Source organism: Homo sapiens, chromosome 9 (assembly GCF_000001405.40).
Source record: "Homo sapiens chromosome 9, GRCh38.p14 Primary Assembly".
Taxonomy (NCBI): Eukaryota; Metazoa; Chordata; class Mammalia; order Primates; family Hominidae; genus Homo; species Homo sapiens.
In genome coordinates, this window is record NC_000009.12 from 109,744,859 (window position 1) to 109,772,751 (window position 27,893).

Sequence of the window (27,893 nt, forward strand, 5' to 3'; positions counted from 1 at the left end):
ACCCTCCAACCTCCCAGCAGATTTTGGCACACTTCTTGCTCTCTCCTCTCTTCCGGAAGACTCTAGGACTAAGGCATCTTCTCCATGAGCTCCCTCTAAGTCCATGCATGCCCTCAGTCCCAATAATTTTTGGCTTCCAGAGCTCCTTCTTCTCAGCCCAGGCACCAAGCAACTTTTCAGCATTTATTCAGCATTTAAATCAACCTCAACAGTGAACACAGCCTTCCTTTTTGCTCATTTTCAGAGCCCAGCGATTTCATAGAATGGCAGGGCATCAGGTCCAGATCATTTAGACCACTGCCATGACCAGCGATAGGTATGGACTCCACTTAAAAATAAGGCTCGTAGCCGGGCATGGTGGCACAAGTCTGTCATCCTAGCTACTCAGGAGGCTGAGGCAGGAGAATTGCTTGAACCTAGGAGGCAGAGGTTGTAGTCAGCTGAGGTCGTGCCACTGCACTCCAGCCTGGGCATCAAAGTGAGACTCTGTCTCAAAAATAAAAAAAAATAAAAATAAGGCTCATAGTTCCAGGCTCTCATTTCTTCTGAGGCTTGGCTTCTAGGTTGGAGTGAATGCTGCCTCACTTCTTTTCTTCTCTGATCTCTTAAGTCGACTCTAGTGGCTGTCAGTGTGTGTGTGTGTGTGTGTGTGTGTGTAGGAATAGGCATGAATTTACCAGCCAGAATATACACACACACCCTTTCCTGTCTTGTCGTGTCCTGTTTTAGGTTATTCAAAATGTTATTCAGTGGCCACATTTACAGCAATAATAAAAATAGGCAGAAGTCATCAACACTATGAATAGTAAACACATTTAGAAAAAGGTGGCAGACAATAACGACGTCTGGGAAGTGTTTCAGTGGAGTCTTTCCTCACATGAGCACGCAGTGGTGTGGCTGCCAGAACTCCCTGGCTTCTGTACTTGATTTACGCAATGGTCTGGGTTGCCCTAGTTGTAACCATGCAGCTTGGCTCTGGGCTTCATAAATTCAGACCCCAGAATACAGTTTATTTATGTTATGACTCCATCCAAAACGTTGCAAAGAAGCCAACTCCCTTCATCCCATTAAAAAGGTATAATATGTATTTTTACTAGCCTGCAGAGCTTGGCATTCAGAGGTAACAATATGTGCTTTGTTACTCTGCAGGTTTGCCGTGAAGTGTGCTGTAATCTTTGCCAGGGGTGTGCTGCTCTCTCCCAGGAGGGTTCACAGCCCGGGAGGAACACTTCAGACTGCTTAACGACTTGCTCGGGCCTTGCCTTATATGGAATTTTTCCTTCTGCACAAGAGAATGACAACCACTTAGAGTGACAGCCAGCAGGGAACAGATGACAGCCAAAAATCCACTGTGCTCTTGGTCCCAGGATGTCCTATCTGACTTGAACTTTTGCTGTTTAGGCTTGCTCTCTGATAATGAATTTGGGAATGCCAACAGGTTTGGAGGAATAGGAGTCACTTAGAAAAGCTAGCCAGATAACTCCATTTTAGAAAGCATGGGGGAATGTCTTTCCCATTAATCCTGGTAAGTTAGTTAACAAGCACAGGGCACAATAGGTCCCCAAATAAATGGAAGAAATGGTGCAAAATGCAAGCTACAAAGTAGGTGTTTGATCATACACATTCATATTTTATTATTTAATTTGATTCAATCTTAGGGTCAGAGCTAACAGAAATAAATATATTTATTATTATTATTGATCAATAATTATTAGAACCATAAAGAAGTGTCCTCACACTCAGAGTCTAGTGTGCTAGCCCAGTAGAGAGACACCAATGATATCCCCAGGAGGTGGAAGGGAGGTTGGTGTGGATCTGGTTCAGGCACTGCTGTAAATGCTTTAGATCTACTGTCTCAGTGAATCATCACCACAACCCTATGAGATAGTCCTATTTTATCTTCATTTTGCAGATGAGGAAACTAAGGCACAGGGAGACTAAGAAACTTGCCCAAAGTCACACAGCTAGGTGTGGCTAGATGTGGCTTCTAGTTGGCAGCAGCCTAGAGTTCAAATACAGGCAGTCTTGCTCTATGAAGATTTTAACAGGCACAGGTGGAAGAGGGCAGTGCGTGTGGCAGAGATGTCAGCAAGAACATGAGAAAGGCATGGAGTAGAGAACAGGGACATGTCCAGTTGGATTGGAGTATGGGTAAGAGGGTTGGAGGAAAATTACACCATAAACACAAGCTACTGCCATATTGTGGAGGGCCATGAATGCTGATGTGAATATACTGTAATAAATATTGCTAATAATAAAAGCCAATATTTCTATGGTTTTATATTGTGTATAATATCTGTAATAGCCTAGCTTTGTTTTTACAGGTGCCCAAAAAGGCCACCAGCAGATGGATTCACTAGGCTCATTTCTCTTTGCCCTTGTCTTTCAAGTGGTTTATGTCAGGCTAGCCCCCAGGCCACCACGCTGATTTTCAGTTAAAAAGTCACTGGTATTGAGGTTTTTTAAAATTATAAATGCCTTCTTAAACAGATGTTTTACTCTAGAAATGTTTGTTAAAATATATTCTATTCAATTTCTAGTAATGGTTAGCAAATTTGCCTTGACGTTCTTGGGGTTCCTGTCTTGGCATTCATGCAGAATTTGATATAAAATTATATATACTCATAAGAAGAACCAAAGAACCAAATAGTTCTTCTTGCCAGTCACTTGGAGATTACAAAACAGCATTTCTGAGTAGAAGGCATAATCAAATATGATTTCATGAACTGATGCATATATGAGTTAGAGGCCAAGAAATATTGAATCATGAAGTAAAGTTCTTCTCATTTCTAAAATACTGTAACTCCATAATTTTTTTCTTTTTTTTTTGAGACAGAGTCTCACTCTGTCACCCAGGTTGGAGTACAGTGGCATGATCTCGGCTCACTGCAACCTCCACATCCCAGACTCAATGGATTCTCCCACCTCAGCCTCCCAAGTAGCTGGGAATACAGGTGCTCACCACCAGGCCTGGCTAATTTTTTGTATTTTTGGTAGAGACAGGGTTTTGGCATGTTGCCCAGGCTGGTCTTGAACTCCTGAGCTGAAGCGATCTGCCTGCCTCAGCCTCCCAAAGTGCTGGGATTACAGGCATGAGCCACTGAGCCCAGCTGGCTATATGTCCATAATTTTAAAGATTACAAATGACTCTATCAAAAGTTATTCTGTTGACAGTTTCAACACAATATTTACCAGTTGAAACTGATTTTTATGCTCTTGGAAGCTGGTGGCCACCTTCTTATATGTATGTTTGGTTTATTCTAGGATACTTAGTTGATTAACCACTTGGAATGAAGTAGAGTTGTGTTTTCTTTTTTTTCTTTTTTTAACTGTAGCAGAGTGACCAAGCATGCAAAGGAGGGAGAGAGAATATGATCCATGGCAAATGCAAATACCCCCTATACTCTTTCCATCTGGACTTGGTGAATTGGGCTGCCCTTCTGCAGTTGAGGGTACATGAACAGCCCAGTTTCTCATTCCCAAAAGGACACTAGGGTTTGCAGGGAATGACGCACTACAGGGGTTCCCAAGACAGCTGGGGCATCGGCCTTAAACATGAGGCGATAGGAGCAGCTCTTGTACAGAAGAGGAGTGAGATAACATGGGTCAGGAGTCTAAAAGATGGCGATCCCAGTTTACCTTTGCTTTTATTCTACTTTGATCAAATAATGTGTGATGCTAACATCATTGTATTGGAAATAGAATCATGATGCTTCCTAAGTTAAATGGCAGATTGCATGTACTGTCATGTGTCCTATCTGTCATGATGCTGACAGTTACACAATTTTGCTCTGGAAACTGGGAATTACACTTTGATTTTGGGGTAGAGGGTGTTATATTGGCTTGCTAGGCTGCCATAACAAAGTACCAGAGACTGGGTGGCTTAAACAACAGAAACTTTTTTGCTCACAATTCTGGAGTCTGGAAGGCCAAAATCAAAGTGTTGGCAGGATTAGTTTCTTCTGAGGCCTCTCTCTTTGGCTTATGGATGGCCATCTTCTCCCTGTGTCTTCACCTGGTCCTCCCTCTGTGCAAGGTTATGTCTTAATTTCCTATTCTTATAAAGACTCCAGCCATATTGGATTAAGGCCCACTCTGATGATCTCATTGTGACTTAATTGCCTCTTTAAAGACCTTATCTCCAAATACAGTCACATTCTGAGATACTGGGGATAAGGACATCAACAGATGAATTTTGGGAGGACACAATTCAGCCCATATCAGATGTGCTCTCCCTTAGGGGGTTCTAAGACAACTGGGGCATCAGCCTTAAACATGAGGCGATAGAAGCGGCTCTTGTATTTCTGTCTTTAGTCCCTTGGTCTGCCCGTTAGTCCTTCTAGAAGGAGTCCACTTGACAGATCATGATGCCCTTCAGAAGTACCCAGGTCTCTCACAGTATCTAGCAGGGCCTCCCCAGGCTACTCCAACAGACTATTGAAATTAGTCACGCGCCCCACCATATTAGAACCACTTTCCTGGGCCTAGGCAAGTCCCTAGTGCTGGGGAATAATCACTGGACTAGTGATCAAGAGATCTCGTTCTTGTCTAGATTGCTGCTGGCTTGCTCTTGGGCAAGTCTTTTTCTCATCTGGGGCTGATTTTCTTACCTAAGAAATGTTGAGCTTTATGATTTCTGAGGTTGGCTATATGTGAATTGCCCTAGTAAGTGCAAATGTGTTTTCATAGGTTAGAAAAAAAAAAAAAGCCCAAAAAGTATTTTCTGGGAATTGAGAGTTGTAAGCACCTACAATTCTAGAATATACTTTATTATAAAAGTTAAAATGTTATGCAATCCTATAGAAAAATTCAGGACCATTTTGCTGTTGTCTAAAATCAGATGTGTGATCTCCATCTTCTTAATTTGACAGACATTTGCCACAAGTCACTTCCACACCAGGCAGAGTGCTGAGCACTGTGAGAAGGATGTGGGAATTCAGAGGCTAATAAGTTCTAGTCCCCTGCTCCCAAGGAGTTCGTTGTCAACCTGTTTTCATCACTGGATGTTTAGAAGCCTTGGATAATATCAAAGGTATCTATGTTGGAGACCATGGGCTTCAATTTCTGGCTGTCTTTTGGCATTTAGAACCTAAACAGCTCTGGGCTGGTAGACATCACTGACATGACTTTATTGTTCCCATGAGTGAACATCTGCATGAGATCAAAAGTAGTGATTTCAGTGTCACCAATATTGAAAAATACAGAAATTGAAATTGTAGGTAAACCCCTGGATGGTTATAGTTAAGGACAGAAAGACAAGGAGTGAAAGAAACTCCGTGAAACAGGAAATGCCAAGAAAAGCCTATAGCTTCCCTGACTTGAGACAAAGGCTGTTGACTAGAATCTCTTGATTCTTAGTCCAGTGATTATTTTCTAGCAATAGGGACTTGCTCAAGCACAGGAAATTAGTTCCAATATGGTGGGGGCACATGGCCAATTTCAATAGCCTGTTGGAATAGCCTGGAGATGCCCTGTTGCATACTGGCATGTTTGATTCCTTATTGAAAACAGATAAAATATATACAATTGCAAAATTCATATAATTCTGCAAAAGTAATATAATGTAAAGGAAAAAGAGGAAAAAAAGTTCTGCTACCATGTTAAAAAAATCATGCAATGCTAAGTATGATACCTGAATTAGAATGGTCAAGGGTGGCCAACCAGTGGAGACAAAACTCATTTCCTTCTCATCCTCAGAGCTCTGCCCTAGGACGTGTGTGTGTGTGTGTGTGTGTGTGTGTGTATGTGTGTGTGTCTGTGTGTATACCAGGATGTTAGCCTGTATGAAATTTCTGGGCTAGATGAAAGAGAGGGGTTGGGATTGAGGCAAGTTCTGGAAAATAATTTGTTTTTTTCTAAAGGTCATGATAGCTACTTGGATCTAGCCAATTGTTACCATGAAGAAATTTTTAAAATGTTGGCAATCAACTTAAGACATTCTTTTGTAAGATATAGTATGGTCCAAACAAAACCATGCCTTGGTCACTAATTTGCAATTTCTGTTCTACAGCATCTTCCAGATCTTTATGGTTACATTAATGATCTGAGGCAAAAAGTGCAATTCAAGACAGGTTTCTTTCCCAATGAAGAAATACAAGATAGGACCCAATACAGGCAGAGACCCTTGCATTCCACCCTCACCCCTGCTTCTGGCTTCCTAAGCAAACTGTACAATCTACTTAAGTGCGATGTCCATGTGAGTCTTTCAAAATATACCTGAATCCAGCCAGGCAACCCTAGATTTTCAGTTCTGTTTTGTTTGCTTTCAAATGATTTTCATTCAGTATTCCACTCAGAAAATGTCTAAACTGAGTGGGGAACTGCGGTTGAGTTGGGCATATACAAGGATATCCTCAGTTTGAATCTTCCCTAAATATCCATAAGGGAAAAAACCCCACTTTAATAATAAATTATTCAAATGTGCATTCGTTCTTGAAACATTTTAAGGATGTTTACATTGAAACCAGATGCCTGCTCCACAGACAGCCCCCGTTTCTGTTGATTTTACAGCTCTCCTGCTCACTTCAGTTTTCTCAGTAGGGTCTTTGTTTTACTCACTAGTAAAAAGAATGTTTCTTTTGTTTGCTTTTCTTTGCCATCCGCGCTGACCAGACTCTAGAGGGAACTCCAGCCATGCTGTGATTTGGCTAGCATCCCCTTCATTTCACTCCTAAAAGTCATATGTACACATAATAGTAAATCGTTTCTGAGACCTCATGCGCTTGGGCTTTTCCTAGCTCGTTCTTCTTCCATGTGGTTGGAGTTTTGCAGCAGTTTGAGTAACAGTTCAATCATGCTCTCAATTAAAGAAGTTGAGTCAGTTCATGATACCCATCTCATAGAGCAAGATGAAGCTAGGATTTCTAGGGAATTTCTGGCCGTTCAAAAATGTCATCTGAACCCAAAGCTTTTATTTCTAAGCTGAGCTGAATCCATCACCGAGTAAAGAGCAGGAGGGAGAACTCATTTGTTCAAATGCCTGCAGGTATTGGCCTGAGGGAATATGGGGAGAATAGCTATTCCCAAGGATACCCTTTTTCTTTCTTAGTGGTTGGCCATTCAAAGTGTAGCAAGAACCAGAAAGGTGAGCTATCTAAGTCTAAGAAAAAGTAAAAGTCATAAAGATAACTAAGCAAAGCTTTTCTACTCACACTCTATTTGGCCTGATTGGTCCTTTCATGTATTCATTTGTTTATTCAAAAAACATTTATTGAGCACCTACTATGTATTGCTAGGTCTGTGCTAGGTGCTGTAGTGCATATCTCTTGGTGGAGGTGGCAGAAGAGTCCAGAAAATTTTAGTGCGGTAACTTATATGGCGAGAAACACATAGGATAATGGGACACTGGAGAAAGGCATTCAATGAAGACCAGTTAGAGTGAAGGTAGAATGCAAGAAGACTTCTGGGAGGACGTGGAGCCTGAAGTGACCATGAGTAGGAATTAGCAAGCCACAGCTTTTCAAACTTTCACATGCACAGGAATCTCCTGGGAATCTTGCTATACTGGTGATTTTGACTCAGGTCTGGGATGGGTCCTGAGAGTCTGCATTTCTAAGGAGCTCCCATGTGAGGCCAATGCTACTTTGGGTAGGAAGGAGATAAATGATGACTTGACATGGGAAAAGAGAAAGAGGGATTGAAGAAAACATTTCAGGTAGAGGGAATGGTGTGTCAAAAAGCCTAGAGGTGTAGGAGCATGTGGAATGTTTGGTAAGTTGCAAATAACTCAGAATGGGAGAAGCCCAAGGGGATGAGGGGGAATGATGACCTTGAATCTGGAAGCAGCCATCATATTATGAAGGACCTTGAAGGTGGTGCTAAGGATTTGGGGCTATTTCCTAAGAACAAGAGGAAAACACTGAAGAGTTTTATATAAAGGAATGATAAGAACCACTTCATTTTGAAAGGATTACTCTGATTGCGATGCAACAGATGGACTGGGGAAAATGCCACCTAGAGGCAAGAGACCAGTAGCCGGGCAATCTTGTTCATCCAGTTGAGAAAAGATGAGGTCCTGAACATAAAGAGTAGCAGTGAGTAGAGAGAAAAAGCAACTGGCTTTGGAATATTACAGAGGTTAAATGATGAGGAGTACTAGCTGGTCAAGAAGAGGAGAGGCAAGTTCAAGAACTGCCTGTTTTCTGGCTTTAGATGAAGTTCACTCCATTTCAATCCTGGTCATAGTGTCCCGCTTCCTCAAGATAATGATTGGTGAACCAAGATGCCACTTGGAGTTTCCAAGAGAAAATACCAGAGCCAGGATTTGTACCCATGACTTCTTGATTCAAAGCCCATGTTCATTTTACCATACTCCATTGCTTCTCAGTGGCTTTCTTAAAGCCAGAGAGGAGAAATTCGGAAGTTCCCACCCAAGTTGAGTCTTAGAGATTTTACTACTGAGCGCTGAAGCACAGGGGAGGGATCAAGGCTTTAGGGAATCAGAGTGGCTGGGGTACTTAGTGGTTGTTTCCAAAACCGTTCCAGTTCTGCTCTAATAATGGGGGACGGGGAAAAAGAGGGTGCCTCCTTCCTCAGTTTGCCATCTTCTTTTTCCAGCTTCCAAAAGCATACTCGAGGAAAGCCATTGGAAACCTGTCAAGCTGTTCCCTAGTACTGAAAGACAGTTTGTGACAAAACAGGCTTTTCTGCGCCCTTGGGCTTTCTGTGACTTTCTCAAGATGTTTGCAGTTGATGATCTGCATGCAAGCAAGCCACGTTGACAGTTTCTGACCTGTTTCCAGCACCTTTGCAAGTGTGTGTGGAAGAACTGTTCAGATTCATTTTGGATGCTTTTCCATATATCATGGGGAATTTGATCTATATATCTCAGAGTCACTTAAAGTTAACTCATCGAGGCAGTTAGAGATTGTGCCTATCGTTTACTAAATTATAAAAAGGATTAACTAAGACTAAAAGCCATCCAAGCATTGGAGTTCTTCACTTCTTTAAAGTAATTGAATTCAGCTCTTAACTTTTTAAAAATCAAGGATACTACATTTTTCGGATTTCAAAAATGATACAAGTTTATTGTAGAAAGTTTGAAAAAAATACAGAAAAGACTAAAGAAGAGAAAAGAGTAATTATAATTTCACTGCCCCGGTATAACTACTGTCAACACCTTGGCATATGACCTTTCCATCTTTTAAATAAATCTGCATATACACAACTTTTCAGTGATTGTTACTGTACTCTGCACATTGCTTCCTCGCTTACTGTACATTAAAAGTTTTCCCTTGATTTTTCCTTTATTAGATTTTATTGGAGTGCCAAATACAAAACATGTGGCATGAAAGATAAAACAGAAAAAGTACCCTCTAAGGTATCCAAGGTAGCTTGGACTCTTATTTGTAAAATCAAGACCAGTTAAGCTACTTCTCTAAGATCACATTAGTTAGGAAATGAGCAGGACTACAAAGTAGAACTTATATTAAGTCCATTGTTTTGGTTACTGTGAATCCTATAACAGAATCCAAAAGCTGAGAACTAGAAGTAATTTTAGAAATTATCAAATTCAACTTCTTCATTCTCTCTTTTTTGTCTTGTTATGGTAAGAACACTTAATGGGAGATCTGCCCTCTTCACAGATTAAGCGTAGTATACAGTGTTGTTAATTATAGTCACAGTGTTCTATGGCAGATCTCTAGAACTTATTTATCTTGCATTTTGTCATTGACTTCCTCCTTCCCATCTGTCTTAGTCAGTTTGGGCTGCTACAACAAATTGCTATAGACTGAGATTTCTGAGACAACAGAAATTCATTTCTCACAGTTGTGGAGGCTGGGAAGTCCTAGATCAGGGTGCCAGCTTGGTGAGGGTTCTCTTCCTAGTTGGCAGATGGCCTTCTGGCTGCATTCTCACATAACTGAGAGGAGAAGCAAGCTCTCTTGTGTCTCTTCTTATATGGGCACTAATCTCATCATGAGGGCTCCACCCTCACAACCCAATTACTCCCCGAAGGCCTCAACTCCAAATACCATTACATTAGGGATTAGGGTTTCCACATACGAATGTTGGGGAACACAACATTCAGGCCATAGCACCATCCTAATAAATGGCACCACTATCCAACCAGTTGCACAGACTCCAAACCTAGTCATCATTGCTGCCTCTAGTTCCTCTTGCCCTATAGCCTGTGTATAAGCAAGTTCTGCTGACTCTCCTGCCAACACCAAGGGCTCCTTAGAACCTCCACCTCTGCCACCCGAGTCTAAGCCACCATCACCTCTTAGCTGCACAAATTCATTGGCCTTCTACCTGGTTTCCCTGCTTCCTCTCTCACTCACCCATCCCCACTCCCACATACGTAGCAGCCACAAGTATTTTTAAAATGTAAACCAGAAAATGCCACTTCCCTGCTCACACTCCTCCAACAGCTTCTCATTCAACTGAAATCCAAATTCCTTATCCTGACCAACAAGGCTCTTTATAACTGGTCCTGCCAGTTCCTCTTTCCTCACCTCCCACCACTCCCCCTCCATTCATGTTGTTCCAGCCACAGTGGCCTTCAGACTCTTTCTGTAATGTGTCCAGCTGGTTACCATCCTAGACTATTGGTCTCATTGTTCCCTCTGCCTGAAACCTCTTCTCCCTCATCTTTGCATGGCGCACACCTTGTCATTTGAGTATAGGAACATATTTCCTGACAACTCTATTGAAAACAGCCCACAGCCAGGTGTGGTCGCTGGTACTTGTAAGGTGGGAAGATCATTTGAACCCAGAAATTTCAGGCTGCAGTGAGCTATGATCATGCCACTGCACTCCAGCCTGAGCAACAGAGTGAAACCTTGTCTCTCAAAACAAAAAATAGAAAAGCAAAATAAAATAGTCCCCAGCCCCCACCTCCACCCCCTTAGTATCCCTTTACACTGCTTAACTTTTCCATAATGCCCTCATGACTATGTAACATTAAATATTTATTTATTTATTTATTATATGTGAGGAGAGCCTTGCTAGAATGTAAACCTGATGAAGACTTCAAAACCCCTGGAACAGTGCTTTTGCACAGAGTAATCATCATCAATACATACTTGGTGAAAAACTGTAAAAATGGCAGCACAATCTTTTATCACAGAGATGTACCATGATAAGCATGCAGATTCATTTTGATTTTTCATCACTGCACATGATGGTTTGATGAGCTTCCTTATACATAAACCCTTGTTCCCATCTCTAGTTATGTTCATTACTGATATTCCAAGGGGCAGAATCACCTAAATCAATGGGTATATATAGTTATAACACTTTTGATTCACATCACCAAATGGTTCACCAGAAGACTTGCACCATTTATATACATACAGATACCAACAGTATGTAAGTCTGTTCCTCAAACCTTCACTAATGCTGAGTGTGATTGCTTTTGAAATCCTGCCCACTTTGATAGTCAAAATAACAGCGTCACATTTTGTGTTTCTTTGGATATCTGTGAAATGAACATTTCTCTCGTGTCTGTTTGCCATAGGTATTTATTTGTATGTGAATGTGTGATTGGACCCATGTTCTACTATTAATCTTCATCTTTTTTCTTATTGATTCATAAGGGCTGAACTGTTGATCTGTTACATACAGATGTTGTGGATATGTTTTCCTATTTTGTTGTTTGCCTTTTGATTTTGATTGTGGTGCTATCTTTTATAGACATGTTCATTGGCTTTTGGCCAATTTTATCAGTTTGTTCTTTTAGGATATGTCCTGTTCCTTTTACACCCAAAAGTCACTTTTCACCCTGAAATTAGGTGTTTACTTTTTATGCTTAGCTCTCTAATCCATGTGGAGTTTATCTGAGTGCCAGTTGTGGGATATGGATTCAAACTGTAGTTAATTTCTCCCCAGAAGTTAACCAGATACTCTATGCACTTTACTGGATATCCCATTATTTCACCACCAGTTGGAATTTCAAGATTTATCATATACTGATTGCTTTGAATCACTTGAGATTGTTTTATGCATGGTTAGCTTTTAGTAATTCTGACCATCTTTAATTTTTTTTGATGAGTACATATTTATAGGGCACATGTGATATTTTGAGTACATGTATAGAAAACCTAATGATCAAATCTGGGTATTTAAGAAGTCTATCACCTCAAGCATTTATAGTTTCTATGTTTTGGGAACATTTCAAGTCCTCTTTCTAGCTATTTTGAAATATACAATACATTGCTGTTAACCATAAGTGACCTATTCTGCTATTGAACATAACGTGTTCTATCTATCTGTATGTTTGCGCCTATTCGCCAACCACTCTTTATCCCCACCTACCCTCATACACACCCTTCCCAGCTTCTAGTAACCATCATTCTAATCTCTACCTCCATGAGATTAACTTTTTTAGCTCCCACGTATGAGTGAGAAAATGCAAGATATGCCTTTCTGTGCCTGGATAATTTTACTTAACATAATAACCTCCAGTTCCATCACATTGCTTCAAGAGAACATTTAGTGGCAAAGAATACTTTGTAAGAATCCCATACTGTATCTCCTTCTTTCATACCAATGCGTGGTTTAATATATAATAACCTTGTTTGAAATAAAAGCCTTTGATGCCTGGTGCCCTTACCACTTATGAAGTAACCATCGGTTTCCACCACTAAAAGTCTCCTATGGTCACAAAGTCCTTTGTGAAAAAATCCAAAGGCAAAGAGAGAGGCAGGTCTGCCCCATACAGAAGTTCAAGCTGTGCATTGCACAACTCCAAGGAGTGTCTATCACATAGCAAGTTATATAAATGGTGCCCCAGAGTTTGATAGTCCGCAATATGTACAGTTGTGTGCATTGATCATGAAGAGAGAATCCATGTTCACTTCCCAATTCAGCCCTCAAGAAAACCAACACGAGGTCTTCGACAGCTTACTAGATCTTAGAGATCAACTTCATCATTTACAGCAAAACATGCCAAGGTTCACCAAAAATGTATAGGCTTGTCTATGGTCATAAGACTTAGTGATAGAAAAGGGATAGATCCCAGATTTCTCTTTTTTTCATTGATTTATCTATGTAACTTTTTATGTATTTCATTGATTTATCTATTTCATTTTTTCTTTACTTTCAAGAAGGTAATATATTCTCATGGCCCAAAATTCAAAATTTATATCCACAAAAACTGCTTTACCCATCCTAACCCCCTCCCAACCCCACTGAGAGTTCCCATAAACAAACCCTAATACCAGTTGGTGGCATATCTTTCCAGGGATAGTCCAAGTATATACAAGCAAATACAGCCATACATTCTCCAATCACTCCCCTTTTTAACCTAAATACTAACATACTGCACACTATTCTGCATTTTGACTTTTTGATTTATAATATATCTTCATGCTTGCTCCCCATCAGTGCATGAAGAGTTTTTCCATCCTGTCTTAAAGAGAAGTTGTGTACTATTGTATGATATACAACAACTCTTTTAACCCTATGGATGGACATTCATTTGCTATTAGAAATAGTACGACAGTGAATAATGTTGTTCTCATATCATTTTGAGCATGGGTCATCTGTAGGATAAAATTTGTGGAAGTGGGATTGCTGGGTCAAAGTACATTTGTAATTTTAATAGACATTGCCAAATGGTTCTCTATAAAGGTTGTTCCGTTATTAGCTGATTTTCTTATATCATCATTAACACTGCTAGCAAACTTGGTACATTTTGCCAGCCCAATGCATACAAGAGAGTGCAGTTTGTGTGTGTGTGTGTGTGTGTGTCAATGTAAAGACAAATATTTCTTTAAATAATAATGTATTTGTATTATTTTTTGCAGTGGAATTGGAAATTTTCTCACAGTCCTATCCAGATGTGCAAAGAAGTGGTAGTTTATTTCTATAAGTGACCTAATCATCCACTGTGTACATTTGCTGTTTAATGAAATCTCAGCTTCTCCCAGCTTTAACATGTATTCTCATTTAAAGATTTAGAAAGATAAAGTAAAAGGGTGGGGATCAGATTCTGCCCTTCCTCTATTCTTTCCTACAATTTGAGTCTCATGTTGGCTCTTTTGTTCATTTGTTTTTAATTGACTCATGATAGTTGTACCTATTTGTGGGGTATAATGTGAGATAGTGCAGCTTTCATTTGCCTTTCTCTTATTATGAGTATGTTTAAGCATCTTTTCTTGTGTTTCAAGCTATTTGTATTTTCTATTCTGTGAGCTATTTCGTTCCTTTGCTCATTTTCTTAAAAAACTGAGCTATTGGTCTTTTTGCTTACTAATTAATAGAAAGAGAAGTAACTTTTTCACTAGTTATATTGAAATAGAACATCTTTTCATAGTTTGAGAGCCAGTGTATTTTCTCTCCTGACCTGTCTGTTGGTATAGTTTTCCCTTCTCTTCTTTTGGGGTGTGAATCTTTTTGTTCTTGATGTATGGAGTCATTTATGCATTATAGAACCCAGATTTTTGGAACCCTATTCCCAGCCTCTTACACTTAGATGTGATGTATCCTCATTTCTTCATTGCACATTTCTTCATTTCATAGAATGGTAGAATGTTTTGTAAGTGTACATGTAAAAATTAATCAATTCCAGAATCACCACAAACTCAGAAAACATGGCATCAAAACGGTGATTCTTTAAGGTGCAAGATAGTGTGAATCATTTAGTCTCCAGCAAATGCATCCATCATAATATAAGACCTTTTAGAATTAGAAAAATAATCAAACCTGTAACAAATTTTGCAAGCAATTTATAAACAGGTGCTAGAATCTAAGATATTGGTGACAGTAGAGAAGCAAACAAACAACAACAACAACAGCAACAACAACAAAAACCAACCAGTGATTAATTGTAATCTTTTAGGCCCATTTTAAATGCGTCCTCCTCCATGAAATATTTCTTGGTTTCTCTGGACGGATGTTGTTTCTCTTGCCTCTGAATTCCCAGAGAACTTTGTACCTCTCTTAGGGAAATTATCAATCTCTGTCTTTTATTATAGTTAGTTATGTACATGAGTATTTCCAGGAGCACTGCCAATTTCCTATACTGATCATAGATTTTTCCTAATGAAAGGCTCAAAGGTCCCAAGGCAAAGTATTCTTTTTTGAAGTAAGGTTATTGTGGTGTAATTTATATATGGCAAAATTCACTCTTTTCAAATGTACAGTTCAACGTGTTTTGACAAATGTATACATGCATATAATTACCTCCAAAATGAAGATACAGAACATTTCCGTCACCACAGTGTTCTCTTGGTACTTCTGTTGTCAAGCCACCCTCTTCACCCTCAGCCCCTATTGATCACTGATTCGATTTTTGCCCCTATAGTTTTGCCTATTCCAGAATGTTGTATGAAAAGAATCATGCATCCTGTAGCATTTTGTGTCTATTTTTACTCTAAACCGCAGTACTTTAAAATTAAACACGGGAAATAATTTACTCATTGCTTTGTGGAATTTAGGTTAAGCAGACTTGCTCACCAAAATCATGCCAGTAGTTAGGCAGTGGTCAAAAGGAAGGAACAAAGAGGAAAAGGGAGGGAGAACAGAAATTGAGAAAAACACAGAAGGAAAGTTTAATGTTTATTATAATATTCTTTATTGTTTAGAAATTATTTTCTATAGAGCACGTCCAACGTCTCCAGCATTTTGTGTCATCTTCACGATAACTTTACAAACTGTTATTATTCCCATTCTGCAGATGAGGACGCTGAGGTTCAAGTTATTTGACTGACTTGTCCCCAAACAGAACCATAGAAAAATGAAAAATCAGCATTGAATAAACTCTGATTTGAAGGACATTGTTTTGTGGACTCCTTCAGGCTTCCTCTTCCCCAAATTCTAGTAAGAGAGAGTTAACGAGAAGAGCTGTCAGCTCTGGAAGGAAGAGCTTCTCGCTTTCACTCACCATTGTAAACCCAGAAACTAGCACTGTGTTAGCCCACTGTATAAGAGGTGTTCATTAAATATTGTTAAATGAACTCACGAAACAAGTATCTGTCCTTCAGATCCTTAGAGTACAAATGCACTCAATTTTCCTCCCCAAGAGCTCCCTGGGAGTTTTTTTCAACTGTTGCATTTTTTTTCTCATTTTTTAAAGTTTCCTTTTTTACTCAAAGTAAAACACAAATGATTTCTCAATTCCTGTAACTTTGTGTCAGGGCACATTATCCCAACACATGCATTGAAGGCGTGTGACTGAGTACCACCTTTTGGATTGTCTGTCATTTGAATAAAGAATATGGTTTATGTTCATTAAGGACCACTCCAGAGGTAACCTTCAGCTAATCATTTCTTATGTTCTTCATCTAGACCAGTGGAGTAATGATCAAACATAAAGTGATCTATTTGAATGAAAAACAGGCTATACATAAAATGGTTTTAAAATGAAAAGAAAATCTAATCTTATGGCATTTTAAGATGCTGACAAACCAACAGGGTATGTGGAAAATTCCATCCAAAATAATATTATTGCTTTCCTAAAACCAACCTGAATGTTTGAAGGCAGATGAATAGGTCAGGAATTATAACAGTATCTATTACTTTGTGGATTGTTGTAATGTCTGAAACAAGGATAGAATTTTTTTTTCAATTTTACTTTAAGTTTCGGGATACATGTGCAGAATGTGCAGGTTTGTTACACAGGTGTACATGTGCCATGGTGGTTTGCTGCACCAATCAACCTATCATCTAGGTTTTAAGCCCTGCATACATTAGGTATTTGTCCTAATACTCTCCCTCCCCTTGTCCCCCACCCCCAACAGGCCCTGGTGTGTGATGTTCACCTCCGTGTGTCCACGTGTTCTCATTGTTCACCTCCCACTTATGAGTGGAACATGCCGTGTTTGGTTTTCTGTTCCTGTATTAGTTTGCTGAGAATGATGGTTTCCAGTTTCATCCATATCCCTGCAAAGGACATGAACTCATTCTTTTTTATGGCTGCATAGTATTCCATGGTGTATATGTGCCACATTTTCTTTATCCAGTCTATCATTGATGGGCATTTTTGTTGGTTCCAAGTCTTTGCTATTGTAAATAGTGCTGCAATAAACATACATGTGCATGTATCTTTATAGGAGAATGATTTATAATCCTTTGGGTATATACCCAGTAATGAGATAGAAGACATTTATGCTGTCAACAAACATATGAAAAAAAGCTCATCATCACTGGTCATTAGAGAAATGCGAGTCAAAACCACAATGAGATACCATCTCATGCCAGTTAGAATGGCAATCATTAAAAAGTCAGGAAACAACAGATGCTGGAGAGGCTGTGGAAAAATAGGAATGCTTTTACACTGTTGGTGGGAGTGTAAATTAATTCAACCATTGTGGAAGACAGTGTGGCGATTCCTCAAGGATCTAGAAGGACAGAATTTTTTTTTTTTTAATGGTATTGTTTCATATAAACCTATGTAGTTCCCAAAGAGGTCTTCAAAGTGTTTTAGGTCCCTGGGAAGTTTTTGATCTTTTGAATTTCTCATTTTCTTTTTACATAATTATGTCTCCAAAATGGCTCCTCTTTTGGCAATAAACTTTGATCAGTGGAAGACTAGTGACACCTGGATTCTAGGTCTAAGTTTCCACTTTTAATTTAAATATTTGTCTATTTAACACCCTGGAACTTTCCAATGAAATTCCATCCTAGAGTATAAGAAAAGTCTTTATTAATCTAGATGTGTAGGGCAGTATAGATATTCACCTTTAAATTAATTGATCGATTATCCTCACTGAATTGCCACCCCAGACCCACAGAAGGGATTATTGGAGCTGGCAATGTCTTGAAATGGCAATGTCCACATGGAAGTGGCATTAATACAGCAGCCTTTGTGCTTTGTCATTGCAACCCAGGCCAATGTAAGTCACTCACTGTGAGGCAGGAAAAAAACCCTAAGTTATTATAAAGGGGCAAAAGCTACTTTTATATACTTTTCAGAAGTCTCTTGCCTTGGAGCTGAGATAATGGGAAATTTTAAAAAGGAAAATAGGAGAATGACATAGACAAGTGACTTTTTGCCTTGGCAGACATGGCTTTCCTACCCTCCTTTTATCTCAATGCCCCTCCTTCCCATTCCCCAGGGGGTGGAGGGGAGGAAAGAGATGGGAATGCTGAGAACAGAAACCAGAGTAAACATTAGGATTTTAGGGTCAGGAAAGAGCTCAAAGATGTTAAGACCATGTGGCCAGAGCTGGCCACATGATCAGAGCCAGGCACATGCCTATGTGGACAGAGAAGCCAAGAGAGACCAGAGGGCAGCACTTTCAGGGAGTCAATAAGGGTAGAGCCTTTTCAAGGATATAAGTGGAGAGAGCAAAGGACTCCTTGAGAAGCAGGTCCCAAAAGCAGGGCTAGAGAGTTGGACAGGTTAACATATCCCGGGGGTCACTGTGGCATGAAAAACAGAAGCTGAGGGAAACTCAGAGGGCGGAGGGACCACAAAAGCCTGAAACCCAGAAGGCTGGCCTCCTCCTGCCCACCATCCATTGCCAGGCCCTATTCATCCTCCCCGCCTCCTCAAATCTGCCCTTTTCTCTCCATCTCCATAGAGCTGAGACCACGGGCTATACTACCAGACTGTCGGTAGGTAAGACCCTGCCCTGCCTCCTACTTGCTTTGCAACCCTAGGTCAAATACCTAACTTCTCTGTGCCTCAGTTTCTTCATCTGAAAGATGGGAATGATACTACCATATCCAGTTTAGGAACTGTTTGGGGTGCCAAATGAATTGACACCTGTGAAGCATTCACAGGGTACTTAATATTAGTTTCTTAGCTATGTTAGTTTCCTAGGGATGCTGTAAGACATGACCACTCACTGGGTGGCTTAAAACAAGAGAAATTCACTCTCTCATAGTTCTGGGAGTGGGAAGTCTGAAATCAAGGTGTCAGCAGGGTTGGTTCCTTCTGGAGGCTCTAAGGAAGAATCTGTCCTTGCTTCTCTCCTAGCTTCTGGCAGCTGCTGGAATTTCAGAGATGCATAGGCCCTCAATGTGGGGTGGGAGGGAAGTAGGTGGAGGTCCTTGGCTCATGGACACATTGCTCCAATCTCTGCCTCTGTCTCCATGTGGCCTTCCCCTCTGGGTGTGTGTGTGTGTCTTAAATCTCTTTCTCTTATGAAGACATTGGTTATTGGGTTTAGGTCCCACCTTAAATTCAGGATGATTTATCTCAATATCCTTAACTAAATTACTTCTGCAAAGACTCTAAGTGAAGTCACATTCACAAGTACAAGGGGTAGGACTTGGACAGATCTTTTGGACAGCCACTATTCACCCAGGTACAGTCATCATAGTTATTACTTTCAATTCAGGCTCCTATTGTCTCTTGACTATACTCTTATAATAGTCTCCTTGCCTGCAGTCTTCACACAGCAACCCATTCTCAGTAAAGTATCCCCAGTGAGCTTTCCAAAACATCTTCCTCTTTTACACCCTCAAGTGGCTCCCTGTCACCTGCAGGGGAACATCTGACATGCTGAACTAGACCCAACCTGGAGCTTATCTCATCTCCCCAGGGCCATCTCCCACCCCCCTCCATCTTGTACATCCTTCTCCAAAACAGGGTGTCTCCCAGAACTCTAAACACACTGCGCTCTTTTACACCTCCTGGCCTTTGCACAGCTTGTTCTCTCTGCCTATATACTACCTCCCCCCTAGCCCCCATTGAGAGCCTATGCATCCTTGAAGTTCAGTTCTTATTTCATCTCCTCTGAGATGCCTTCCTGGACCCTTCTCTGGCAGTTCCCCTAGATCCCAAGAACTGCCTCCTTATCCTTACTGATTCTTGAGCTCACCCCTGTCATCAAACTGTATCAACTGATTCCCAAAGATCTATTAATGTTTCTGTTGCCCCTTGAGAGTTGCACCTTATTCAACTCTGCCTCACCGATGCCAGTGCAGTAGTGGAAGGTGTTGAATGATGAATGACTGGTGGATGGATGGATGAATGGATGGATGGACGGATGGATGGATGGGATGGGATGGATGGATAGATGGATGCATGGGTAGATGAATGAACGGATAAAGGGATGAATATTTTTTAAAAAAAAGAAAAGAAAACTCTGAGTCAGGAATCATTTGGAACTACAAGGTGAAACCTGGACTAAAGCTAGGACCATCTGTGATGAGAAGACCTGAGCAGTTATTAGTGAGGAAGGAATGTGGATACTCAGGATTCATATCTTTGTCATATAAATAATGAACAGCCATGTATCTGAACTGCCCCATAGATGATGCCAAAAGTAACTGCTGAGCAAACTCATTATAGCTCTGATTCTTTTTAATGTCTAAAGCCTTAAAATAAAGAAACCCCTTTGGGAGTGGATAAAACGTGGTTCTCACATCTTACACTTTAGTATGAATTAGATTTACCTGGTCCATAAGTTTAAAATGTGGACACCTAAGCTCCACCCCCAGAGATTCTGATGAAGTCAGTCTGAGGCAGGCTCAGTGATTTGTGAAGAGGTTAAAATTGCAAATTCTGGCTCTGCCACATCTGTGCTATATGACCTTAGGCAGTTCCTTAATTTTTCATGTCTTAAGTGGAGACAATGCTAGTACTTCTTCACAGAATTGTGATGAGTTAAATACTAGTAAGAAGAGTTCAGCACATGTAAGTGCTCAGTAATGTTACCTGCAGTCATTGCCGTCTTCATCACCATCATCATGATCACCATCATCATGATCATGATCATGATCATCATCATCATCATCATCATCATCATCATCATCATCATCAATGACATCTGTGGTTTTTAATAGTGGCTGCATAGTAAAATCACCTGAGAAATTTACAAATAGATCCTGATATAGTTAGTCTGGAGTGGGCATTGGGTAAGGGTATAATTTTAGAGCAACCCGCCTTTAAAAGTCTGATGTGCAGTCACAGTTGAGACCCAGCCTTGATCTGTGCTTCTCAAACTTGAATTGTGCACAGATCACTAGGGCAGTTTGTAAAAAATGCAGATTCTGATTCAGAAGGTCTCAGGGTGTTGATAATCTGCATTTCAAACAAGCTCCAGGTAATGCTGCTGCTGCTGTCACAGACCACAGTATGAGGCATCAGGTTTTAGGGGATGAGTAAAACCTCCTGAGCCTGAGATGCAATGCACAACATGGTCGGGGACTTGGTATCAACCCAGTGACCAATTGTGATGGAGGCCACATGGTTCCTGGTTATACCCAGGCCTGTCATATGCAGAGTGTCACATGCCTGCCTTCTGGAATTCCCCCAGCTCCTCACTAATGTCCCAGGGAGGAGAGGCAGGCAGGCTGTCTTGGGCTTCTCTGATAAGATATGTCAAGTGTACATGCATTACCTTCCCTACTGTCTGGGGAGTCCTTTCGGAAAGCACTTAAGGACATGCTATGCACTGAGCACTTAGCTCTTTATATTGTGGAGCTCAGGGTCAACGTTTTGCCCATAAAAGGGCCACTTGTGTAGGTCAAACTGCCGAGTCAATGACCCTGCCCAGTGGGAATAGTATTGTCACCCCTGTTTTTGGCACAAATGATTTGAGTGTTTTCCAAACATCATTAAATGCCAAGGTCCCTGACCCTAAATGTGGTTCAGGTGTAGGGACTCAGAGGCCCACAGCTAGACTGGGCAAGGGAGGGGTAGAAGATTAAAATGGGAATGACTGACAGGCATAGGCTATTAATTCTCAAAGGTTGGCTCTGCATCTTCTTGCAGACTCATTGCGATTTCCTCAAAGCAAGGCCTTCACTGCCTGGTTGTGCATCATAGAGTTCACAGCATTGTGAAATCACCCTTAAGGCAAAGCTGACAGCATCTTTATTTATTGTGCATGGATTTCATGTTAACCTCATCATCCTTTTGCTGCATGTTGATAAGGCAGAAATAGTGAGTCATTTAAATAGCGGATTACAAAGACTCTGATGTAGTAAATCTACCCTCTAGGTTTTCATTTCATAAAGAATCTGTGCATTATTTATCATCCTCATCAGCAGAATAATAAAAGCCAACACAGACCTTCTCATGAACCCCATAATGTAGATATTATTGTCCTCAGTTTACCCAGGATAAAATTGAGGCACAGAGAGGTTAAGTACCTTGCCCAGGGCTCCCCCATGCCAATAAATATGGAGCTGACGTTGGAACCCAGAGCCTTGCAGTGCCAGTGCTGTTAGCCACTGTCCCCGACTCCATTTGTGAGAATGCTGCTGACTGGCATTTATGAGAGTGCTTAGTACCTGCCAGACACTGTGCCTGGGGATTTACATGGATTATCTACTTTTACCCTCAAAACACCGATATGAGTTAGGCACTATTAATTTCATTTTCTGATTGAGAGAGCTGATGTGAGAGAAATGCAGTGATTTTCTCAAGTTTAAACTCACCTTGTAAGCTTCAAAGCTGTGATTGGAACCCTAGGGGTCCATGTTCCCCTTGCTCATGTGTTCTGGCCCCTCCTCAGCTGACTTTGGATTTTTGTCCCCTCCTACTGCTCCCTCCAACCCCAGAGTGAAGGTCTCCTGGCTTTGTCCAAACATTAGTTCCATCAGGGCCGCCCCACCGGCCTGTGCCCACCCTAATACCACTTCCTTGGAGTCCCTTTTGCCATTGGAGATGATGCATTCACAGGTTCCAGGGATTAGGGCGTGGGCATCTTTGGAGGCTGTTGCCCCATCTACCCCTACCACACCATTTTGCAGGTCTCTCACATGAATCCTGCAGGATCTTGCTGGTTTCCCTGCTTACATCTTCTTCCCTGCCTCATCCCTGGCAGCTGGAGTGACCTTTTAAAATGTAAATACATTACTTTGCAGTTTGCTTAACCCCTCCCAAGGCCGAGATCTGGTGGGGCCACCCTCTGGCCTCCTCTCCCTGAACCCCTCCCCTCGCTCCCTCTGCCCTGACATGACTCCATCGCTGGCTTCATTCGGGGCTGTCTGATTGTCACTTCCTCCTCCCATACCTAAACCATCACCCCCATGCCACTCTCTCCCCTTAGTGTTGGCTTGCTTCAGAGCATTCCTAAGTTACAGTGTGCACTTCTCTACTCTTAATGTCTCTCTCCCTTCCCTGGATTCTAGGTGGAAAAAAGGCAGCTGATCTCTAGCACATGGGACAATGCCTGGTTCAAAGCGTGGGCTAATACATTTAGCAGGATGGAAGGAGGGAAGGTGGGATGGAAGGAAAAGAGGGAGAGAGGGAGAAAAGAAGGAAGGAGAAAGGAAGGAAGGAAGGAGGGAGCAAAGGCAGGTAGGTAGGAAGAAAGGAAGGAAGGAAAGAAAAAGAGGGAAGGAAGGAAAGAAAAACAGTGAAGGAAGGAGGAAGGGAGGGAAGACAGGCAGGAAGAAAGGTAAGAAGAAAGGAAGGAAAGAAAGAAAGAAATGGAAGGAAAGAAGGAAGGAGGAAGGAAAGTAGGAGGGCAGGAGGGAGTAAAGCAGGCAGGCAGGGAGAAAAAAGGAAGGAAGGAAAGAAGGAAGGAAGGATGGGGGAGTCAGCTCAGTTGATTGTCCTTTTAATGTTTGTTATCTGAGGCCTTATTCCTTAGGATGACAGTCCAAGTACTTAAAAAAAAAGTATCCCTTTTGCCTCTTTCAAATGCATATTTTTTATTCTTAAATTTTTTATTGATACATAATGTTTGTACATATGTATGGGATTTATGTGATATTTTGTTACATGCATAAAATATGTAATGATTAAGTTAGGGTATGTGAGGTATCCAGCACCTCAAGCTTTTATGATTTTTATGTGTTGGGAACATTTCAAGTTCTCTCTTTTAGCTATTTTGAAATATGCAATTTTTTAAATAATACTGCTAAATGTTCCTGATACTTAAGTAGTTCCACACAGTCACATACTACAAACAGTAAGCTCATCACCTGATATTATTACATCTGCCACTTAGAAGCTGTGTGACTGGAAGCACTCTGTGCCTCAGTTACCTCATCTGTAAAATTCAGATAATAATAGTGCTACTCTCATAGGCTGATATGAGGTTTACATTAGTTAATATATGTAAAGCACTTTGAATGAATTCAGTAATATAGTCAGCACCATGTAAGTGTGTATTAAATTTAAAAATAGACCAGGCAAGGTGGCTCATGCCTATAATCCTAGCACTTCAGGAGGCCAAGGTGGGAGGATTGCTTGCACCTAAGAGTTTGAGACCAGCCTGGGCAACATAGTGAGACCCTATCTCTATTTATAATAAATAAATATAAAAACAACTTAAGTTCAAGACTATCCTCTCCAGTCTTCTATTCATACTTTTATTTAATTTAAAAAGACTGTTGGAAACTTTCAAGTTTTTACTTGCATTAGTTTGTTTCTGCCTTATCAGAACCCATAAAAATAGTAGTTTTTACTGACATTAGTTTGTTTCTGCCTTATAAGAACCCATAAAAATACTAGTTTTTTACTCCTACGAAAGTGAAATGGCAAAAGTGTACCTATGCACATTATTTTTCCCACCAATGGTCATATTCTTAGCAAATAAACGTTTCCTCTGTGGGCTGGGGGTGTTACAATGTTTTTAAATAGTGGGATTATCAAGTTTAGGGTTTTATTGGCTCAGAGGGCAAGTGTGAAATCTTGAGTCTGTCTGGTGCTGGGGTTTGAAACCTGATGCCCATGTGTCACTTGCTTTATTAAGTCACCACCTTGGAAGGGCTGCTTCCTCCTTATTAATGAAAAGCCTGCTCCATTTGTTTTGGCTTGCACCAACCTAACAGTGTCTTTAAATCAGCGACAGACTGTTTTCCTTGGAAGCCACAGAGTCCAATAGTTTTGGACTAAGCTCAGATTCTGGCTAGAACTTCCAAACTGGAAGTAAAATGACTTCACCCAACAGTGGTTGGGGGGAAAAGCCAGGCAGGCTTTTGGAAAGTGGATTTTTAATATTGGAGGATATTTGTGAAGGTGCCTGATGAGATGGACCTAACAGTGTTTGAGGGTGATGTGGACAAACCGTTTTATTATTCTGTTTCAACATAGTGCTATGTTTTATTTAAATGAATTTGCAACTTGGGGTCCTGAAATCTATTTTTGTTTTTGTTTCCACCTAGAATAGAAAGCACTTTCAAGCTTATCCTGGGAGGCAAGAATAGATTGAAAGGATAACTACTGTATGTAGATGCAAAGGAGGTACCTTCTCGGGGAGATCGGGTGAAGGCTGTTCTCCCTAGAAGAACTAAAGGCTGGGTAGACATGGAGTCAGAGGAAGCTTTGGTTGGGAGAAAGACAGTGGCAGTAACCCAAGCCCAGAGAGGGGATTCCTTGGCATTTGTGCCTTTTCTGTGCCATCAACAGTGAAAAGAACTAGAGAAGGGCAGCTCTCAGAGCTCAGACAGCCAATGGTTGGCTAGGTCAGAGGAGCTCTTGGGCTGGGTCGGAGTTGGCCAGACTTCTTGTGCTCTTCCATTCATACCCAAAAGGAGCTTCTGGGTCTTGAAGATAAACCACTTTCTCTTGTTCCTCTCAGTTGCTCTGATATTCTAAGACCCAGAGCAGATTTTTTTTTTTAACCAGGAGTCCATGAGTCTTCTAAGAATGTCCTTGGAAGAATTCAAGGAATTCCTGATACCCCAGAAACTATACATAAAATGCTGTATGCATGTGCACTGCTCTGAGAAGGAGTCTATAGTTCTTACCAGATTCTTGAAAGGATTCTGTGAACTCTTCTCCCCTAAAGCTTAGAATCACTGTTCTGGATGGTACCAAAAACCACACAGTAGAACACTTTATACTTTTGTCTCCCACCTCTGATAATAAATGCAGAATTTGGCATAGTCAAAATGTTACAAAAGGTTTGTACAGCATCAAAAGACCTTGGATTGCAAATTTTACAGGTAAGAGGCAATGACCAGGTTAGCAACCAGTCAAGAACATTCATGAGCAAATGCTGGTCTAGTCTGAAGGGCCATCTTGGGTACACTTGGGCACAACTGGTGCTGGGCTGAACATGCCACTCAGGAGTTTTTACTGGAACACAGGCATGTAGAAACACATCTAGAAGGATATAGGTGTCAACATCCAGAAGGATACAGGTGTCAACAGATAAGATTATGCTCATAATTAGAAAATAGAATTCATTGAGCATCTGCAATATGCCAGGAGCTTTGTATACATTATCTCATTTGTTTGTCACAATAATCTTATGAAATGAATACTATTGTATTTCCCATTTTACAGACAGCATAGCTTAAACTCAGAGAAGTCAAGTACAATTCTCAAGGTCATTAAGTGGTAAGAACTGGAAGATAAGGTCAGGTTTGTCCAATCTATGCTTCCTCCCAACTTAAGTAGCTTCATCACATGCAAACAATGATCATGGTGGCTTATGGGACACCAATTAATCTGACAAGAGCTCCTTCGAGGCTGTGACTTTATAATTTTTAGAATTAACTGAAAGAGTGGCAAGTTGAGCATTCAATTTGCAAGTCATGCTATGTTTGGAATTAGGAGGGATAACCCCTTTTCCTTCCCAAAGGGACTGACAAGCATACCAAGAGGGGGTGGGATTTCTGGAACTCTGTGAAGTTAACAAGAAGGGACTTGGAAAGTTAGAAGAAGGAGGGGGAGCTGCATTCCAAGCATAGCTCATGGTATGAGAAAGCACCAAATTTGGAATGGGACGAACAGATGAAGAAGGTGTCAAGTTCTCTGGGGAGGAGTGGAGGGTACTAGACACCAAATACAGGGTAAAACTCTGGCAAGATGCTGTGGTGACTTATCTGAGCCTAAAACAAAGGAGAACCATCCCAGAATCCTAGAAATCTCCCTTCCCCCAAATCAATGAAGGGAAGTTTCATAATGATGGACAGAGTCCCAGATGGAAATTGACTACCTGTTCTACAGAAAGGTCTTCAATTCTAACAGAGAACTCTCTGATCGCAGGAAAAGCTATCTCAATTTCAATGACTTGTCCACTGACAGAAAATAGTGTAAGAAGGGCTCACTCTGGGGGAGTGAGAAGTAAGGCATTAGAGGAGGAAAGATGATAACTGAGTGGGAAGAAAGAAAATCATGAAGGACCAACAGGAGGCACCTGGGTCGCAGCCCAGGGAGCATTAATGATCCTACCTCCAGTTTTAGGGGCACAATACTTAATCCGACCCAGAAGGTGGAATGCAACAACCTCCCTCTCCTCCCCTCCCACCCCAGAGGCATTACCGCAGCAGATAAACAACTGGCATGACCCTCCAATAGAAAGCAAGATCACCTTTGCAGCAGAAGTGGCCCTGCCAGCTGCCCTTCTTCTTTCCGTGGGGACAGACACTGTTTTCCCTGGGGAGGCCAGAGAGCTGCTGAGTCTTCATTTCCTGAAGGGTTGGGCCAGATTTGGGAGCTCATGGGAGTTATAGAACTGCTTTTTCTAATTTACAAGTTCTAAAGTCTTGTTCCTGGTCACTTCCTTCTCAAAAGCGAAGGGCGCAGAGGCTCCTGTGGAAACACCTTCCCTTGTGAAGTCTGCACAGAGTCCTCACAGAGCCTCTGGAGTGGCTACCTTCCATGTGCTGGCTACCACCGTCTTCTTCCAGGGAACTCCACAAGGCTCCTGGCTCCCAGTCAAGCAGCCGCCTTTGTGTCTGTTCTTTTTCCACCCCCACCTCCCCAAGTATGCCTTCTCTAGTGGGATAAATTTAGCTCTGAATGAATGCAGAAAGAAGAACACATTAAAGTAAACACAGACCAAACAGCATTCAAATATAGGTTTGGCACACACACACAACTGACAAAAGATCCAAGTTTTTCTGTTTCCTTCTCTTCTGCTTATCTCTGTTTCTCCCATCTCATCCTCTGACTGCTACACTCTTTTCTGCGTGTATTTAAGCTAATTAGATATGTAGATCAGAATGTGGGGCTGTTGGTCTTCAAACCCCATGAAGGGGAAATCACTGGAGTGACTGAGAAACATCAAGGAGTGAATGAGAGCCCCAGGTGGTGCTGGCATTTTCATTTACTGGCTTGATCATCTTAGAAACCCTTCCAAAAACTT

General features: G+C 41.1%; 1 protein-coding gene and 1 long non-coding RNA gene across 2 annotated transcripts in view, besides 1 other annotated feature; one reads left to right on the forward strand and one right to left on the reverse strand.

Moving 5' to 3' along the window:
- PALM2AKAP2 (PALM2 and AKAP2 fusion) overlaps positions 1-27,893 on the forward strand; it is a 531,726-nt gene that overhangs the window by 104,072 nt on the left and 399,761 nt on the right. The gene's annotated exons all lie outside the window — the stretch shown is intronic.
- Positions 6,046-6,215: an enhancer, noted in NCBI's record as "experimental_104485 CRE fragment used in MPRA reporter constructs". NCBI's record gives its function as "activates a minimal promoter by MPRAs in K562 erythroleukemia cells, with activity observed for the non-introgressed 9:112513269 variant allele {active_cell/tissue: K562}" and the evidence as "EXISTENCE:reporter gene assay evidence [ECO:0000049][PMID:34662402]".
- PALM2AKAP2-AS1 (PALM2AKAP2 antisense RNA 1) lies at positions 15,497-27,413 on the reverse strand. Its single transcript, NR_171891.1, has 3 exons — positions 27,117-27,413; positions 20,555-20,702; positions 15,497-15,762 (listed from the first exon to the last, which is right to left on the reverse strand). It is a non-coding gene; the product is annotated as a PALM2AKAP2 antisense RNA 1 (long non-coding RNA).